Source organism: Homo sapiens, chromosome 3 (genome assembly GCF_000001405.40).
Source record: "Homo sapiens chromosome 3, GRCh38.p14 Primary Assembly".
Classification (NCBI taxonomy): domain Eukaryota; kingdom Metazoa; phylum Chordata; class Mammalia; order Primates; family Hominidae; genus Homo; species Homo sapiens.
In genome coordinates, this window is record NC_000003.12 from 136,336,002 (window position 1) to 136,356,159 (window position 20,158).

The 20,158-nt window shown below is 39.2% G+C and overlaps 1 protein-coding gene across 7 annotated transcripts in view; it reads right to left on the bottom strand.

Moving 5' to 3' along the window:
- Positions 1 to 234: 234 nt before the first annotated feature.
- STAG1 (STAG1 cohesin complex component) overlaps positions 235 to 20,158 on the bottom strand; it is a 416,143-nt gene continuing 396,219 nt past the window's right edge. For all 7 annotated transcript variants that reach the window (NM_005862.3, XM_047447229.1, XM_047447228.1 and 4 more), the window contains 6 exons: positions 13,157 to 13,362; positions 7,831 to 8,005; positions 5,440 to 5,550; positions 4,490 to 4,604; positions 2,369 to 2,449; positions 235 to 2,276 (listed from right to left, as the gene is read on the bottom strand). In NM_005862.3, the coding sequence (NP_005853.2) occupies positions 2,253 to 2,276; positions 2,369 to 2,449; positions 4,490 to 4,604; positions 5,440 to 5,550; positions 7,831 to 8,005; positions 13,157 to 13,362 (712 nt within the window). In that variant the 3' untranslated portion in view covers positions 235 to 2,252. The remainder of the gene's footprint in view (positions 2,277 to 2,368; positions 2,450 to 4,489; positions 4,605 to 5,439; positions 5,551 to 7,830; positions 8,006 to 13,156; positions 13,363 to 20,158) is intronic.

Consider the following 20,158-nt stretch of genomic DNA (forward strand, 5'->3'; position numbering starts at 1 on the left):
ACACACACTCCAGAGAAATCTAAGGAATGAAAGAAAGTGAGCTATTCCTAAATTCTGCTTTCTTAAAAAAAATTAAAAAGCCAAAACAACAAAACCACCAACTCACTAATAAGGTTAACTTGCTGCCATTTAACAGATTATCAGAAATTGCAAACTCTCTCAAGAGCCACAGGACAGAAAATCATCTCTTTAAAGCCATACCTGGTAGAAACAATAGGATGACTACCACAAGCCTGATTTTGAATAGTTTATTAAAGGAAAGGTGAAGCATCAGTTTCAAATTGTACAAAAGGAAAAAAAACCTCATATTGCAAATGTACAATTTACAGAATTACTAGCAAAACCAATCAAGGAGACACCGAAAATACAAAAATTTGATTGACTTCAAACTGAACTGGAAACCCATTGGAGTAGATATTTAGCCTTTTTGTGTGGCATGGTAGTCTACAATTCTGTCAGCATCTGTTTTCCATACAAGACTGTCACGCAAAGGATCAATTTGTGCATGTGCCAGGGCACCTCATGGCTTGCTCCCTGGCCAAAACCACAGGCAGGCAGGGCTGGGGTGGACAGTCCAGTCATTCCTGCACCTTCACTTCCAGTGAAGCCCACAATTCTGGGAGAAAGTGAGGCCCCAGCTCCCCTAACTGGAGCCCAAGAATTGCTGAATTAGCAGAGAAGATATTTTTGGTGACCAGGTTTTTTTCAGAACTGTACAAATGTTGAGAAAAATGTTTTGTGTCTTTACTAAAAGGATGAATAAAATCATCCATCATCATCTTGCTTTCCCGCACAAAAGATGATCACTGGGTGTGCAGAATTTTAAAAAATGTTTTTCGTATTTGATAAAAAGGGAAAGCCTCATGATTCTGTTGCAGCTACTTTAAAAACCAGCCCAGAAACAGCTGTGGATGAATTGGTTTGGAAATTCTGAGGCTTACTTTAGAAATCAGAAAGGAAGAGAGAGACTAAGTGGGGTTTTTAAAACAATAGCAGCAAGTCATAAAAGTCTAGGCAGAATGTAACTCTAAACCATTGTAGACTGTCCTGAAGATTCATAATTTCTTTCCCCAAAAGAATTATTCTTAATATGCACATTTAACACTGAAATGTAGCTGTAATTCAAGGTAAGCTTAGGAACTTCACCCTCTAAGCACAGACTTCTATGCAGCACATACTTCTATAATCAGTAAACTTAATTCACAAAATTAGCGCATAAGGGTATTAAGTGCATGGGAAGTAAACACAGTTATGTTACACTTAAAATTACTTTTGAATGATTGATAAAGGATTTCTTCATGATTGATTATCTTAAGAAAATGGAAGTCTGTGTAACTTGAATTTGGCAGGGCATGAAATAAGTGGTAAAAACAGCAAACTGATAACTTGAGAATCATTTTCGTTTTACTGAGAATACTTTATTTGCTGGTAGAAGTTGCTAAAAATGCACAGAACAAATACCAATAGAAAATGCACTGTATTTGAATCTCCCTAGTCTATATAAAATGAACGGTGTACAGCATCTGTTGGAAAAATGGCTGCATGGACATTTCTTATTTTATGCCCACTTATAAATAAAAATAAACCTTTTATTCAAGAGTATATAAAATCTGGGAATTCATATCCATATCCACAGAGGGTGTGTGGTTTTTGGCAGAGATGTACTATGTCAGAATTTCATCTTAGCTTGTCAATGTTCTGCTCCTTCATTATTTGTGTTCCACAAAGGTCAACCAAATCCAGTGAACTCCAAAACACTCTTCGCAATTAGGATGAGCTGCTTACTCATAGGTTTAATAAAAATGGTTAGCTTTTAAAACATAAAAAGGCAAAATGTTAAAACGGTTTTTAAATTGTACAACAGGAAAATAAAGTTAAAAATATGTTTTTTTTTACTCAATGTTGAGTTTTCATAAAACAGGTGTATAACAGTGTTTATCTTGACAGCTGTTTTAAAAATTTAAAATTTCTTCCTCCCTCCAGAAAAACACACACATCTGTATTGGGATAAGTCCAATAGTAGGACACAAATGATTTTCAGGTCAGTCTTTCTGAGTTGACATTCACCAACATTCCCTTGGGTAATTTACATGCTCCTCTTCTGTCACTGCAAAAAGGGATTGACCTTAATCATTTGATTAAAAAACAAATCAGATCACATCAAAAGTGTTTTTCCCCATACAAGCTATCACAGTATATAGGCCTCTAGCTCTAAATAATAGAGTTCCAGATTTGTAAATTTTCTTCAGACTTCAGAACATAGGCATTCCAAATCCCTAGAAAAATGATGAGAAACATAATTATTAATTTCATGCATAAACAGGACCCAGGAACCATAAATAAAAAGCAGTAATAATTTGACATTTACTGAATCATCTTCTATGATAGCTGCAGAGTCAAAGAAGTCTGGCCTTAGCTCAGCTCTCTCTCGCCGATTTCTTGATGGAGGCTGGAAAGAGAAATCGGTTTCTTAATTTTTTTCTGAGATCATTAAGACAATGAATTGTGATAATCAGCTAATATTTCTGACAGTATCATAAATATATGGAACTGCTAAGAGTCAATTTTGAAAGGAAGAAGAGAATCTGGCTTTTATATGAAATAGATTTTTTAAAAACAAACAGTACTTTTGGCTTTTAATTATGTTGGCAAAAACAAGGCACAAAACTTTCAAACTATCATGAATAAACAACATGTTAATACATATAAATAACTTTGGGCCTACATGCCCAGGCCATATCTTCCCTTTAAAGTCACAGAAAAATTACAGAATTCATTAACTACTAGGTGATAAACCTCTGTGAATTCCCCAAAGCAGGTAGATGGAAAGTTATTGGAAGGTGGGGGCAGGGAGATTATAGATTGGAGTAATATGATCTCATTTATATTTACAAAACTTACAAAAACTTTTCATTATGGAAAATTCACAACATACAAAGCAAAATGTTACGGGCTGAATTATGTCCCTTCAAAATGTGCATGATGCTGAAGTCCTAATCCAGTACCTCAGAACATGCCAGTATTTGGCGACAGGGCCTTTAAAGAGGTAATTAAGGTAAAATGAGGTCATATGGGTGGGCCCTAATTGAATATAGTTGGGGCCCTGATAAGAAGAGGAGAGACACATATAGGAAAGACCATCTAAAGACAAAGGAAGAAGGCAGCCATCTACAAGCCAAGGAGAGAAGCCTCAAAAGAAATCACCTTCATCTCAGGACTTCTAGCTTCCAGAAATGTGATAAAAAAAATAAATTTCTGGGCCAGGCATGGTCGCTCACACCTGTAATCCCAGGTGGGCGGATCACGAGGTCAAGAGATCAAGACCATCCTGGCCAACATGGTGAAACCCCGTCTCTACTAAAAATATAAAAATTAACTGGGTATGGTGGCATGTGCCTATAGTGCCAGCTATTTGGGAGGCTGAGGCAGGAGAATCGCTTGAACCTGGGAGGCAGAGGTTGCAGTGAGCCGAGATTGCAGCATTGCACTACAGCCTGGCAACAGAGCGAGACTCCATCTCTAAATAAATAAATAAAAATTTGTTTACCCACTCAGTCTGTGGTATTTATTATGGCAGCCTTAGAAAATACACAGAAAAAGCAGCATGATTAATTTCTATGTACCCATCACCCAGTTTCAAAAATTGTCAAACATTTGGCCAGTCTTGTTCCACTGAGTCTCACTGTTTTTCCTTCCCTATGTAATTCTGCCTATAACTACTACAATGTGTTGTCTATAACTGATGAGAACTTTTGAAAAAAACATAAACACCATGCATTACTATTCCTGAAGAAATAAGTTCTTAGTATCACCTATGGTTAAGTCCATATCTCAAACATGTCTTCTCATACTGAACAAAGAAGTCCCATATTCGGCATTTTGTTATGCTGAAGCACCGTGGATTTTTGTCAGGCTCAAATTTAAAGCACAAGAGGCCAGATACACAGTGACGCTGAAAGATCTGGTATGAGCTCTCTTCAAAGAAGGTAAAAAGAAAGAACCAGTTTCTGTTATTATCAGAATTTAAAATATGACTGCTTTGAAAGGAGGCTTGAAGAACACCCAAGCTCATCCAAATGCCCACTGTTGTTGATCAGTGTCACCTCCTCCTCACCTCACCCTTCCTCCCAGAATTCTGAGAATAAGAGGATAATTTTTTTTTGTTTTTCTGAGATGGAGTTTCGCTCTTGTTGTCCAGGCTAGATTGCAATGGCACGATCTTGGCTCACTACAACCTCAGCCTCCCAAGTAGCTGGGATTACGGGCACGTGCCACCACGCCTGGCTAATTTTGTATTTTTAGTAGAGACGGGGTTTCTCCATATTGGTCAGGCTGGTTTCGAACTCCCGACCTCAGGTGATCCACCCACCTCAGCCTCCCAAAGTGCTGGGATTACAGGTGTGAGCCACCATGCCCGGCCTAAGAGGATCATCTTACACCAATGCCCCCACATATTTTAACAAAAGAAAAATATAGTGAATTTCTCTACCAGATCAATAACCATGGTGTCCTCAAATTCTTCATTCATATCTTCTAACTGGCTTCGGGATGACATCATCACATCTTCAAAGATGGGCTCAGCATCTTCCTCCATTAGACCCCGACTGGTAAGAAAAAGGTATTGTCAGAAAGCTCATCAGACTCCACCATTTGGAGTCCTGGCTGTTTCTCAGATTAAAGTTATTCTAACCAAGTGAAGTATACCTTCTAATCATGACCTACAGACTACACAAATTAGACTGAATTCCAAGACAATTAAGAATCATTCCTTTGGTTCATTCAAGATTTCATCTCACATATCAAAAGGAAGTACAATTCAATAATAACGGTTGTTAACATTTATTTATGTGTCAATTACCCTAAAAATCTTATTGGTAGTATTATCCCAATTTTACAAATGAGGAACCTGAAGCACAGATTTTTTTGAGACGGCGTCTTGCTCTGTCGCTCAGGCTGGAGTGCAGTGGCGTGATCTTGACTCACTACAACCTCCGCCTCCTGGATTTAAGCGATTCTCCTGCCTCACCCTCCTGAGTAGCTGGGATTATAGGCGCCCACCACCATGCCCGGCTAATTTTTTGTATTTTTAGTAGAGACGGGGTTTCACGATGTTGGCCAGGCTGGTCTTGAACTCCTGACCTCAAGTGATCCGCCCGCCTCGGCCTCCCAAAGTGCTGGGATTACAGGCGGAGCCACCGCGCCTAGCCAGCACAGATGTTTTAGAGCTTGTCCAAGGCCATGCAGCTGCCAAGTGGCAGAGCTAGGATTTAAATGCTGAAAGTGTTAAGAACTCACACCCTCCTTTCCTATGCTGCATAGCATATCACGAATTATAATTTTAACTCCTAAGACCAAACATCAAAGAAACCCAAGTCATTTCACAAAATGATGGGCATCACATAGTTGTTATGTTCTTGTGATACTCCATGTAACACTTACACAGCATGCCTCACTCCAGTTCTCACTTTCATGTAGTTCATTCCTGTTCTGTCCTTCCGATTTAAGTCTTCTAACTTCGGCTGGCCTAACCAAGAGATCTGCATCTGAGGACTAAGAGAGGGTACTATTATTAATTTTGTAGCAGCAGATGATGAATTTAGCTAATGAGCCCCAAGCTAAGAAAGCCAAGGTAGGTTTACTTAATCCCATGTTGGAGGAATTAGCTGGATTTATTCTGGTGCCTTTTTATAAAAAAGGCAATAAGTTGCCCAAAGATATCTGTAAGTCTCCAAGAGAAGCTGGCTGAGGCTAATTGTTAGATGCTTAAACTATCAACCAAATCTCTGCCAAACAAGGGTTCTCAGACCTCTGTTTTGGGCTGGTGCCGCACTCACAGGTGTACCTAGCTGGACAGCAGATCCCCAACTAACAGAAATTATGTTGGCTTGGCAGCTGAAAGTTCTCCAGAATTCAACAAGGAAGAATATAGCATCTTTTCCTCAGTCTTTATGGAGTCAAATCTGCACTTGTACTCTAAACTTATTGGCACATGGAAGTGTGTGTAAACATGCCTCTAAGGAATTTTTTTTTTTTTTTGAGATGGAGTCTTGCTCTGTCATCCAGGCTGGAGTGCAGTGGCACAATCTTGGCTCACTGCAACCTCCGCCTCCCTGGTTCAAGGGATTCTTCTGTCTCAGCCTCCCGAGTAGCTGGGACTACAGGCGTGCACCACCACACCCAGCTAATTTTTTGTATTTTTAGTAGACATGGGGTTTCACCATGTTAGTTAGGATGGTCTCGATCTCCTGACCTTGTGATCCACTTGCCTCGGCCTCCCAAAGTGCTGGGATTACAGGCATGAGCCACCGCGCCCAGCCAGGAATTTTTTTTTTTTAAGACAGGTTCTCACTCTTGTCACCCAGGCTGGAGTGCAGTGGCATGATCTCAGCTCACTACAACCTCTGCCTCCCAGGCTCCAGTGCTGCTCTCACCTCAGCCTTCCGAGTAGCTGGGATCACAGGCATGCGCCACCACACCTGGCTAATTTTGTGGTGGTGGTGTTGAGACAGAGTCTGTGTCACCCAGGCTGGAGTGCAGTGGCGCGATTTTGGCTCACTGCAACCTCTGCCTCCCGAGTTCAAGCAATTCTCATTCCTTAGCCTCCTGAATAGTTGGGATCACAGGCGTGTGCCACCATACCCATACATTTATAGGATGTAAACTTTAGTGGTTTTTTAGCCAATACAAACTGTCACATGAAGTTGTCTCTAAGTAGCTGTCTTTATATCATGTGGGGCCACCACCTTGATTAAACCTATAAACCTGGAGCAGGGAAAAGAAGGCAGACCATGGCCACAGGGAATGACAAATGGTAGGGTCAGAGGGGCAAGGCAGGCTGCTAAAACAAGGAGAAACCCACCCTGTAGGAAGAGGGGTGGGGATATTGGTTAGGTCACCCATCTTCGGATGCTTGCCATAAGGCAAACCACCTTCTAGGATACTTGGCAGCACAAGAATGCCCAGTTATACCATGGGTGACAGTGAGTATCCTCTTGGGTTTGAAGGCTGATCCCTTAGAGCAAAGGGATCATGAAAACCCAGGATTTGATACTTCTAACACTGTCTCTATTTTCAACCTAACTAAATTTGTTGAGTTCAAATGAGAGTTCTCCCTCTTATCCATCAGAGTAATTCACAGCATTACCCAACTATACACAGAAACACAAGTGAGGAGCTCAAAGAATTTCAAAGTTGGATGGAAAACAACAATAAGATTTTTATAAGCAAAACACGCCATCACCCTCTGCCTTCTCTACAATTTTCAGAGGTCTGTGTACTAGAAAACATTTTAATTACTAGCATGGAGGAAAGGTAAGACCTTGATTTTCTCTTTGAGGGCAACTATTCTCAGAATTTATCAAGTAAGATCTTAAAAATTCTTAATCCATGAGAAGTTTGAGTTTAAAATGTAACAAGACAAAATATTAATTAAATGGATGATAAAGCTAAATACAGTCTATTTATTTGGTGTCCAGACTACTGACAACTTAATATAGGCTCTTACAGGTTTTCTTGCCTAGGAAGTAACCTGCATTTCTTGGTAAGTCCCTGAGAAGAAACAGACCTGCCCAATGAAAATGCACATGCCAACTGAAATTAGCACCTGGTGAGACACCGTACATTTAAAGGTCTGTAAACTTCCAGGAACTGGTATCTTCAACAATGTTTACAGACTTTTTATAGCTCTTCTCACATGAAGTGTTTACCCTCCGTTTGTGGCTTATCATGAACTGACCAGCAATATGTTCTGATGAACAAATAAAGTTTTTCTTAAATAGTTTTACTTTCTTTAAAGGCTTTTTGTGAAAAAGACAAATTTTTGCTACTTACTTGTGTAAAAAGTCTGGTTCAGAACCATGTTCAGACTCAGGTTCTTGAATCTGGTCTCCCATGGGCCGACTGTTCTCCCGCAGTACAGTGGATGTGAGTTGTGGTGCTGGCAGGGGGCCAGGAGTCTGAATCATGGTGTCAGTCCTGTTTAGCCATGTGTTATCCAGACTCTCATCTGTAAAATTCCAGTTAAGGTCACACAATGTCGTGGGTGGAGTGAACTCTGGTAGCAGTCATAGCATAGACTTGTGAAGAGTGTGGCTCTGCAGTCAGACTGCCCACTTTAAATCTCAGTTCCACCACTTACTTACATGACTTTGTGTAAGTCATTAAACTTCCAAAGTTGAGTTTTCTCATACATACAATGGGGATGCATTACCTAACCTCACGAAGTTGTAGGGACTAAATGAGGTAATGTATGTAACCACTGAATGTTAGCTATCATCACATCATCATCTCTTTAAGTCCCTCCATCTCTAAAGATTCATTCATCCTAGAAGGGGAAGATTGCAGCCAGCCAGAGACCTCTCCTCTTTTCTTTGTTCAAGCAATAAAGGGCCTATTTCCTGGGCCTCGTAGGGGTCCCAGGCAGTAGCAATTAAAGTCTGACTGGCTTTTGTGGAGAAATAAGCAAATCCCCTTGCACAACTAGACACTGGTCAGTAACTTCTTGCCAGGTTATACATGTGGAGATGGGTTGAAAGGTTCACCATTTTCATGCCTCTGTACTTCAGGGAAGCCTTCCCTGATTACCCCTACCCAACCCCCCACTTACCATTCTTTGTTTAAACTTTTTTTTCAAGACGGAGTCTCACTCTGTCGCCCGGGCTGGAGTGCAGTGGCGTGATCTCGGCTCACTGCAACCTCCGCCTCCCAGGTTCAAGCGATTCTCCTGACTCAGTGTCTCGAGTAGCTGGGATTACAGGTGCCCGCCACCACGCCCAGCTCATTTTTATATTTTTAGGAGAGACGGGGTATCATTATGTTGGCCAGTCTGGTCTCGAACTCCTGACCTCAGGTGATCCGCCCACCTCGGCCTCTCAAAGTGCTGAGATTATAGGCATGAGCCACCACGCCCAGGCTTCTCTTTTAATTTCTAGAGGAAATACAGTCATTCATACTCACTTAGGACTTAATTATACACTATACTGCATTAGCAGGTTACGTAATTTGTCATGTATATAAATTATCTCTGTAAAACTTAAGTTTTCCAGGGGCTACGAACTGTTTTTCTTTCAGAACTTATGAAAATGGTTTATAAATATATATATATTTTTTGAGACAGCGTCTCACTCTGTCGCAGGCTGTAGTACAGTGGCACGATCTTGGCTCACTTCAACCTCCGCCTCCTAAGTTCAAGTGATTCTCCTGCCTCAGCCTCCCAAGTAGCTGGGATTACAGGCATCTGCCATCATGTCCAGCTAATTTTTGTATTTTTAGTAGAGATGGGTTTCACCATGTTGGCCAGGCTGAAATGGAACTCCTGACCTCAAGTGAGCAGCCCACCTCAGCCTCCCAGAATGCTGGGATTACAGGTGTAAGCCACCAGCTAAGATGGTTTATAAAGATTTGAGCAGATTAAAGCATTATTTACAAACTGTCCTGATAAAATATTACCTAGTTGTTTTTTTTTTTTTTTTTTTTTTTGAGATGGGGTTTTGCTATGTTGCCTAGGCTGATCTCAAACTCCTGAGCTCAAGCGATCCACCCATCTCCCAAAGTGCAGAAATTAAAGGCATAAGCTACTATGCCCGGCCAAGTTTCTACCTATAAAAATTCTAAATTATTCTAATATGATAAGGCTTCTTAAAAAGTATTACTGCTTTGGTTTTCCTTCTGAAGAATTTTAATCCCAATACATAGTATGAATCCTGTTGCTTTTCCTCTCAAGTCTCAGAGATGTGTGTGTTAGGTTCCTCTTTTGCCATCGAGCATCCTGTTTCTCCTCGTATTTCTCAGGTTTCTGATATTTTTTTAGACCTGTACATTCTAGATGGGCTTTTCTGTGCCTGGAAATACCTACCCATTGTCTGGTTAAAGTAATTCCTCTGATCTGAAGCTCACTACTCAATCTCTTCTTAGTTAACAAAGACACATTTCATCATCTTCTATTCATAACACATTTCATTCAACATTTAATTCAAAACTTTTATTCTCTACCACACTTAAAATTTTATGATAAAAAGATTATTATCACTTAAGTTCTGAACCTGGTAAACTCGTCTGTCAGCTGTCTACTACATGTCATCTTTTCCAGAAAATCTTCCTGTATTCATTAAAAGTTTGGTCACTGTCTATATGTTCCCACAACCTCCTGTGTTTGGCACATCAGAGCATTGACCATGGTGAAATCAAACAGCCTGTTTCTGTTCTCTATCTGCACTCACAGCATATTAATACTTAATCTGTAGTACTTAGCACAGTTCTTAGGAAGGCGCTTGGTAGAAACTCACTGAATGAATGGATAACTCCAGGGAGAACTCTCATCTTAAATAGAAATAGATACTTCTAATCCTTTAAAGATTCCTCAATGAAAATATTTCTTTTAATACTTTCTCATTTTCATCTCTGAAGGATGAAACTCTGCAGCCTAAGGGTTCTGTGCATGCAACCCATCTTAGTCATTTTGTAAATCTCAAATTGACAAAAAAGTTTTCTTTTTTTAATTTAAACAAATTAGGTTATCTGGTTCCACACAAGCTTCTCTTAATCTTGAAAATAATATTGACTGTACCACTAATGAACATTATGGATAGTTAAAATCTCTAAGCTTTAGTTTCTTTTGTGAAAAATTTAGATAACAGTGTTGACTTATAAGACATTTATACACTTATACGTCATTCGCTATGTGCCAGAGACTGACTTAAGTGCTTTATAAATATGTCAAATAAATGATTAAATGATATAACGCATGTTAAAACATATTCCTAGTACCTAGCAAAAATTTGATGAATGTTGGCTAATAAGAATATTACATTGAAGAATGGCTAGGCGCAATGGCTCATGCCTGTAATCCTAGCACTTTGGGACACTGAGGCATGTGGATCGCTTGAGTCCAGGAGTTCAAGACCAGCCTGGGCAACAAGGTGAAACCCTGTCTTTACGAAAAATACAAAAATTAGCTGGGTGTGGTGGCACATGCCTGTAGTCCCAGCTACTTGGGGGCTGAGGTGGGAGGATTGCTTGAGCCAGGGAGGTTGAGGCTGGACAAGACCCCAGCCTGGGCGACAGAGTGAGACCCTGTCTCATTAAAAAAAAAAAAAAAGAAAAGAAAAACAAAAGGCCAGGTGCAGTGGCTCATGTCTATAATCCCAGCACTTTGAGAAGCCAAGGTGGGTGGACCTACTTGAGGTCAGGAGTTCGAGACCAGCCTGGCCAACATGGTGAACCCCTATCTCTACTAAAAATACAAAAATTAGCTGGGCGTGGCGGTGGGCACCTGTAATCCCAGCTACTTGGGAGGCTGAGGCAGGAGAATTGCTTGAACCTGGGAGGTTGAGGTTGCAGTGAACCAAGATCACACCACTGCACTCCAGCCTGGGTGACAGAGGGAGATCCTGTCTCAAAAAAAAAAAAAAAAAAAAAAAGGAAATGCCTGTAGTCATTCTTTAGAGAAAAGTCCAGGATCCTACAGTACAAAGACAAGATTTTATATTTTCTTTCTCTGGACTTTTAAAAAAGACTTTAAGTCCCAAAGCTGTAATTTGAAAGGAAATCTTAAACTTTGTGGAGATTTTGTTAAACTTGAACAGTAACATTTATATTAATTCTTTTATTCCTTTTGAAATATAGATGCTTTGAGCTGGAGCTGCAAGGTTAAAAAAAGAAAAGGAATACAGATGCTGCCTAATTTACTGACTGATGCTAGATAGATATGAGGCATTACTATACAATGATAACGTTCAGATAATTTATTGAATGCTACCTATGTGCCAAGCACTGTGCTCAGTACTGTGTGTATACTAAGTAGTTTATTTGTAGTATCTAATATTCACGGGAACTGACAGGATAAATACTCTGCTAATCCTTCATTTGATGAATGATTTAAACTTAGAGAGGTTAAGTAATATGCTCAAAGGTTGCATAGCTGATAATGAGAAGGCCAGGTCTGAATTCTGGAACTCTCATGTTAGAATTTGTACTCCTCATCAACAGTCAATACTGTTTCCCCAATAATGAAAAGAATCATTAGATTTAAATTCTAATTAATTTTGCCACAGATTTTAGCAAAACCTTTATTAGTCATTTTTTTAGGCAGCACAGGTAAGATGCTGAAAGATAAGAAGTTATAAAAAGAACAAGAGAGAAGGCTCAGATCACAGACCTCCTCTTGGTTTGGAGAAAATTTATTAGAAGCATGAAGAAGGATGAAGATTATTTGAGAAAATAAGCATTTTTACTTTGAGGCTTCTCTTAGTAATTTTAACAGGAATGCTTTGTTTTAATAGAGCAATTTTTAGGTTTTTTTTTTTTTTTAACATATAGGAATACCTACTGTTGATCAGATTTTCATGACAATTTAACTTCCCATTCCCCATAGTCCAAGAGGGTTATAAAACCAGATTTAGCCATTACTGCCTTTTTAAAAAATTAAATGATGGGAGTCTTCCTCTGTCGCCCAGGCTGGAGTGCAGTGGCATGATCATAGCTCACTGCAACCTCAAACTTCTGGGCTCAAGTGATTCTCCCACCTCGGCTTCCCAAGTAGCTGGGACTACAGGTGCATGCCACCCATTTAAAATTTTTTTTTTCTTAGAGATGGGAGTCTTGCTATGTTTCCCAGGCTGGTCTCAAATTTCTGGCCTTAATTTCCTGATCCTCCTTCCTTGGTCTCCTGAGTAACTGGGATTACAGATGTGAGCCACCACACCTGGAGGCCATCACTGTCTTACTGTTCCAACCAAGTGGTAGAACTGGAAAACAACTATTCTGGTATATTCAATTTGCTGCAGAAATCTACCCTCAAATTACCTGTATCTCATCTATATTAGGAAGAATTTTAATAGAATAGCATTGTGACTATCTTACTTTATATTTTAATGTATTAGAGGCATATAGTATGGGGATTGATTTTATAGACCTAGCTAATTTTTTCCTCTTTTGGGCTGTCTTCCTTTGTGCTCCATGCTTCCTCAACTTCTTTTTCCTTGATGCTTTTCTGTCTTACTTCATCTGTTTCAACCTTTTTGCCTTAACATCTCATTGTGAATAAAATATACAAGAAAATCATGTGCCTGATACTATTATCTTGCTTCAAAAGATTATTTACTACTTTATCTCTTTAAAACCAGGCAAATTGTTTCTTATAGTGTAAAGGCAGACTTACCTTCTACTCGTTTTTTATGAAGTGGAGGTCGTCCTTTCTTATTCCTTACTGATGAGGTTTTGCTGCTGCTACTTCCACTGTTCACAGACATTCTATCATCTTCACCCCCAGTGACTAATGAATTTCTATAGGAGATGAGTGGAAGCCATACATCCTCCCTCCTTTCCATCATCTGCTCGGTAAGGAATTTCTCTAGGTATGAATGACTAGAAACACAATAGAAACAGCAGTGATTTTCAGAGAAGCAGTTCATACATCACTTACTTTTTCTTAATCTGAGGCTCTCTTTCTGCAGGTTCTGAAGAATACCTAAGGACACACATTAAACTATTAACAGTGGTCACCTTTGGAAAGAGAGGGACTGAGGAGTTAAGGTTTTGTTTCACTTATTCTTGGGATACTTTAAAGCAAGTGAGTGTATTACCTAAGGGTGTGTATGTATGTACGGTCTTTCCTATATTTCTTCCTTTGCTTTTAAACACCAATGTTAAAAAAAAATCAGAAGTTTAGCTCAAAAAGATTATTGAGTTTTCTTATAAAGTGTTCAAGCCAAAGCAGGATTTCTAAGATGGTGGAGTAAGGAGGCTGGCATGCCCTCTTTCCAGCAAAACAACATTTTAACTAGTAAAAATTATAAAATACCGTAATTTAAAGTATTTGCCAATTCTCTTAAGGGCATACAGCAAATGGAGAAAAATTTATTCAAGAAAATCTGGCCAGGCACCGTGGCTCACGCCTGTAAATCCCAGCACTTTGGGAGGCCGAGGTGGGCAGATCACTTGAGGACAGCAGTTTGAGATCAACCTGGCACAACCCTATCCCTACAAAAAAAATTAGCCAGGCGTGGTGGCATGCACCTGTAATCCCAGCTACTCAGGAGGCTGAGGCAGGAGAATCGCTTGAACCCGGGAGGCGGAGGTTGCAGTAAGCCAAGACCGTGCCACTGCACTCCAGCCTGGGTGACAGTCTGGAGACTCCATTCAAAAAAAAAAAGAAAATCTAATACATTTTAGCAAGAACAGCAAAAGTTTTGTAGCATTTGATCCACAACCTGTTCCCTTCCCTTGTTTCCTTCTCCCTGCCACTACAGCTCTATATTTTAGAAACTCTATCTAGTCCAGGCAGGTGGCCAAGAAGATGGGGGTTCCCTCTCTCTCTAGTTCCCAGGCTACCCTGAAAGAAAGAAGCATACCATTTGCATTTCTCATCACCTCCCAGCCCTGTGTTGTGTAAGTTCTATTCTGAACAGCAACCAGGAAAAATGAAGCTCCTTTTATCCCACCAAGTCTCCACTCCTGGGGTAAAACACTACCCTGGGCACAGCAGGCTGAGAACACTGGAACCCTGAATGCCCCACCTCAAACTCCCTGTCGAGAGATTCCAAACCTGGGGCAAGCTGAGAACCAGGGGTTACCTACTCTCTCCCCTGCTCAAAGAGCCAGAGGTGTTATTCTGGGAGAAGAGGGATGCTGGTCCATGCCATCCAAATTCTGCCCTCCTCCCCATTTCAGTGGCATAAAAGTTAAAGTTCTCCCTGGTGGCTGAGGCTGACTATGAAGAAGAAACTGCAGCTGGAGAGAGGAGTGAGGAGGAAGGTGGTGGTGATGACTTTGTTTATTTGGAATGAAATGTAGAAAATTCCTTTCCTAAGGGTGTTGACAACAGAGATCCTGATGGAGTGAAAATGAGAGGGTGCTGGTAGTTCTCTGACACTAGCAGCAACAAATGACAGCGCAAAACAGCCGGAAGTTCAACAGAGAAAACCAGAGAAAGAGACAGCCAAGAAGAACCTTCCTGGAGTCATAGTCAATCCTGGGAGTTGGATTTGTTAACTGACTGTTGTCATCATCTTACAACATATATGTATATCAAGACATCATATATATACACCTTAAATATATATTATTTTTTAAAAGGAAGGATTTGTTTCCCTTTGTTTTTAACTAAAAAACAAGTGATTCTTCATTTCACTAGCTCCCTTTGATTCATTTGAACGTAGCCTACCAAATCCTCCACTGTGCTTATTTTTTTTTTTTCATCACAGCATTGGAAGAATGCTTTATCACCAATCTTTGGTGGTTATTAATAGGTTGCTGAGCTAACTTGGCATTTCACATATTTCTTCTTATATGAAAGAAGGATAACATTTTATAGTTACTGATCTGCTTAAGTAATTGCTATGCTTAAAAGTTTCTTTTGTTTATAGGTTTCAAATTTTGTGAGTTTATCTGTTTATCCATTAAGCATATTTGGAACAGGTTTAAAAAATAAAATAAAAAATAAAAGTGCTGGGAGTTGGGAAAGCTATGCACATATCCTAAGCTGCATTCACTCATGGGCAAAAAAAGGGAAGGGAATGAGGCAGACTTGAAAGCATTCCCCAAGCCACATACGGATCTATCAACACAGGGAGGAAGCTTCACTGGCAAAAGTGGTTTAAATACAACCTCTCACCAAACACTGGCTGAACTAACAGCTATTCTTACACCTAGGAGCAACTCCTAGGAAGCCAGGCTTAAAAATAAAATAGTAATGCTTCCCTGGTTGTCTGAAGACTGCACACCCAAGGCTGCCTTTCTCAGGAATAATCAGAGAGGTATCTTCCAAGCTGCTAGTCCCTGGCCTAAAATGTGGGTCAAAAAAGTAAATACCCTGAATTATGAAAGCAGCCTGCAAGCCATACACATATCCAACAGTAAAGGGTAAACCTAACTGGCTAAGGGGTTTAAGCGCAACCTTTGATCAGTAAGTGGCTTATGCTAACCCAGGGGTGACCTCCTCAGCAGCCAAGACAAATGATAAAAACAAAGGAAAAAAGATCTGAGCAAAGACATCAGAGGCTGCACAAGGCAGAGAAAACAGATTTTGGAGTTTGTTCATCCAAGTAACTAAACAAATAAATGACCAACGAGAAAATAATATCAACCTCTAGGGGGCAGATAATTAGTAAAGAGTAGCTATATTATTATTTCAAAAGATATCATTTTTGCAATATTTGTTCTTTTTATTTATTTATTTTTTTGAGATAAGGTCTCACTCTGTCACCGAGGTTGGAGTGCAGTGGCACAATCTTGGCTCACTGCAACCTCTGCCTCTCAGGCTCAAGCCATCTTCCCACCTCAGCCTCCCGAGTAGCTGGGACTACAGGCATGCATCACCATGCCCAGCTAATTTTTGTATTTGTGTAGAGACAGGGTTTGCCATGTTGCCCAGGCTGGTCTTGAACTCGTGAGCTCAAGTGATCGGTCCGCCTTGGCCTCCCAAAGTGCTGGGATTATAGGTGTGAGCCACAGCGCCTGGCCAAATGTCCAGTTTTTAAGAAAAAATTATGAGACGTACAAAGAAACAGGAAAATGTGATGGATACATTGATAAAAGAGCAAGCAACAGCACCTTGGCCCACAAAGATTTCAAAGCAATGATTATAAATACAAAGTCCCCAACTTACAATGCTTTGACTTATGATTTTTTTTTACTTTATGATAGTGCTTTTAGCTGTGTACTTTAATGGTGAGTACCTATACAATCATTCTGTTTTGTACTTTCAGTATAGTATTAAACAAATTTCATAGTATATTTGACATTTCATTATAAAATAGGCTTTGTGTTACATGATATTATCAAACTATAGGCTAATGTAAGTATTCTGCGTGTTAAAGGTAGGCTATATTATTCTGTGATGTTTGGTAGATTAGGTGTATTAAATGCATTTTTGACTTACAATATTTTAAACTTATGATGGGTTTATTAGATGTAACCCCATCTTAAATCCAGGAGCACCTGTATGTTCAAAGAACTAAAGAAAATCATATCTAATTAAAAGTGGGTATGATGACAATATCTCTCATGAAATAAAGAGTATCAATTTTAAAACAGAACCAAGTGGAAATTCTGCAGTTGAAAGTATAATCAAAATTAAAAATTTACTATAGTGGCTTGACAGTAGATTTGAGCTGACAAAAGCAAGAAACACCACATTTGACGATATATCAAGAAGTTATGCCATCTGAAGAAGAGAGAGAAAAAAGAATAAAGAAAAATGAACAGAGCATGAGAGAAGTATGGGATACCATTAAATATACTGACATATGTGTAATGGGAGTAACCAAGGTAGCAGACGAAAAAGCAGAAAAATTTAGGAGAAATAATGGCTAAAAACTTGCCCAATTTGATGAAAAACATAATTTACACATCCACAAAGTTCAATGAACTTCAAACAGGATAAATGCAAAGAGATGCACACATGGATTCATCATAGGAAAAATGCTGAAAGCCAAGGATAAAAACAAAATCATGAAAGTAGTAAGAGAAAAGTAATTCACTACATACAAAGAAAATCCAATAAAATTAATGATTAATTCTTATCACCTGGCTCACAATGGAGGCCAGAAGGTAGTGGGATCACATGGTCAAAGTGTTGAAAGTAAAAAACTATCAAACGAGAATCTTACATCGCTCACTGTAACCTCAAACTGCTGGGCTCAAGCAATCTTCCTGCTTCAGCCTCCCAAAATGCTGGGTTTACAGGCATAAGCCACCCCTGAGAGAATCTGTTGCTATCAGACCTGCCTACTAAAGGAAGTTAGTCAAGTTGAAAGCAAATGTCACCACAGGGTAATTTGAATTTACATGAAAAAACAAAGAGTGCCAGTAAAGGTAATTTGTAGGTAGTTACAAAAGTATAATTACATATTTACTTATCCCTTCTCTCTTAACTGATTTAAAAAGCAAATATATAAAACAATATGTATGTTACTGTATTGTTGGGTCAATAACATAGAAATGTAATATATTTGACAATAAACACAAAAAAGTGAGTGAAAGAGAAGCTGTATTTGAATATAGGAATGATACCAGATGGCAATTCGAATCCACAGGAAGAAATGAAGAGAACCAGAAAAATGGTAAATAGGAAGATTAATATAACAAACTCTATAAATACATACTGGCTTTCCTTTCTTTTCTCAGTTTCTATAAAAGATTATCTCAAGTATAATTATAACAATTTATTATTGGGTTTCTAATATATATAGATGGACTAGGTATAACAAGAATAGCCAAAAAAGGAGGAAGGAAATGGATTTATATAGAATTAAAGTTTCTGTATTTCCTTAGAATAAATCAGGATAGACCTTAGGTAAATTTTGTTTTGTTGAGGCGGAATCGCACTCTATCGTCCAGGGTGGAGTGCAGTGGCACGATATTGGCTTACTGCGACCTCTGCCCCTGGGGCCCCTGGGGTTCAAGCAATTCTCCCACCTTCGCCTTCCAAGTAGCTTGGATTACAGGCATGTGCCACCATGCCCGGCTAATTTTTGTATTGTTATTAGAGATGGGGTTTCACCATGTTGGCCAGGCTGGTCTTGAACTCTTGACCTCAAGTGATCTGCCCACCTCAGCCTCCCAAAGTGCTGGGATTACAGGTGTGAGCCACTGCACTCGGCCAGTAAATTTTGATAAGATGTATACTGTAAGGCCTGGTAAGGCCACTAGGAAAATAACTAAAAAAATACAATTAAAGATTAATTAAAGGAATTAGTATGCTACACTAGAAAACATACATTTAATATAAAAGAAGGCAGTAAAGGAGAAAGAACCAAAAAAAAAAAAAACCAAAAAACAAAAACAAAATCTCCAGGAGACATATAAAAAACAAAAAGTATAATAATAGAGAATGTCAGGTTGAATTTAAAAACACATGATCCAATTTGCTGTCTACATGAAACACACTTTAGATTCAAAGATACAAAGGCAGAAAGTGAAAGGATGGAAAAAAAGGTGTACCATGCAAAACAGTAGTCAAAATAAAGCTGGAGTGATTATAGTAGTATGACACAAAAATGTCTTAGAGAATGACACTTTAGAATAAGACTCAACTGGTCAGGAAGATGTAACAATTAAAAATGTATGTACAGGCCAGGCGTGGTGGCTCACACCTGTAATCCCAGCACTTTGGGAGGCCGAGGTGGGCAGATTACTTGAGATCAAGAGTTCAAGACCAGCCTGGCCAACATGGTGAAACCCCATCTCTAATAAAAATACAAAATTAGCCAGGTGTGGTGGCACGCGCCTATAGTCCCAGCTACCCAGAAGGCTGAGGCAGGAGAATCGCTGGAACCCGGGAAGCAGAGATTGCAGTGAGCCAAGATTGTGTCACTGCACTCCAGCCTGGGTATCAGAGTGAGACTCCATCTTAAAAAAAAAAAAAAAAAAAAAAAAAAAAGTATATACACCTAACAAGAGAGCCCCAAAATGTATGAAGCAAAAACTGACAGAACTGAAGGGACAAATAGACAATTCAATAGTAATATTTGGAGACTTCAATATCCCACTTTCAATAATGAATAGGACAACTAAGCAAAAGATTAACAAGAACACTGAAGACCTGAAAAGCACTATAAACAAAACTATAAGCTAACTAGACAGAACACACATCTACAGAACAAAAACTCCAACCAAAACCAGAATGGTAACACATTTTGTCAACTGATACATGGAACAGTCTCTAAGACCGTATGTTGGTCCATAAAACAAGCCTCAATAAATTTAAAAGGATTAAAATAATACAATGCATGATCTCTGACCACAATGAAATGAAGAAATCAGTAAGAGAAGGAAAATCTGGAAATTCAGAAATACATAAAAATTAAACAAAATACTCCTGAATAACCAATAGGTTAAAGAAGAAATAAGTGAAATGAGAAAATACTTTGAGATGAATAAAAACAGAAATGCAACATACCAAAACTTACAAGATGCAGCTAAGGTAATGTTTAGAGGAAAATGTATAGCTGTAAATGCCTGTATTGAAAAAGTTTTCAAACCACTCCCACTAATATTCAACACCTGTCTCTATCATATTACCCCATTTCAGTGCCTGAAACTCTCGTTTGTCTGCCTGTTTTTTTTTTTTTTTTTAGAGACAGTCTCACTGTCTTGCCCAGGCTGCTCTCAGACTCTTGCCCTCAAACAATCCTCCCACCTCAGCCTCCGGAATAGCTGG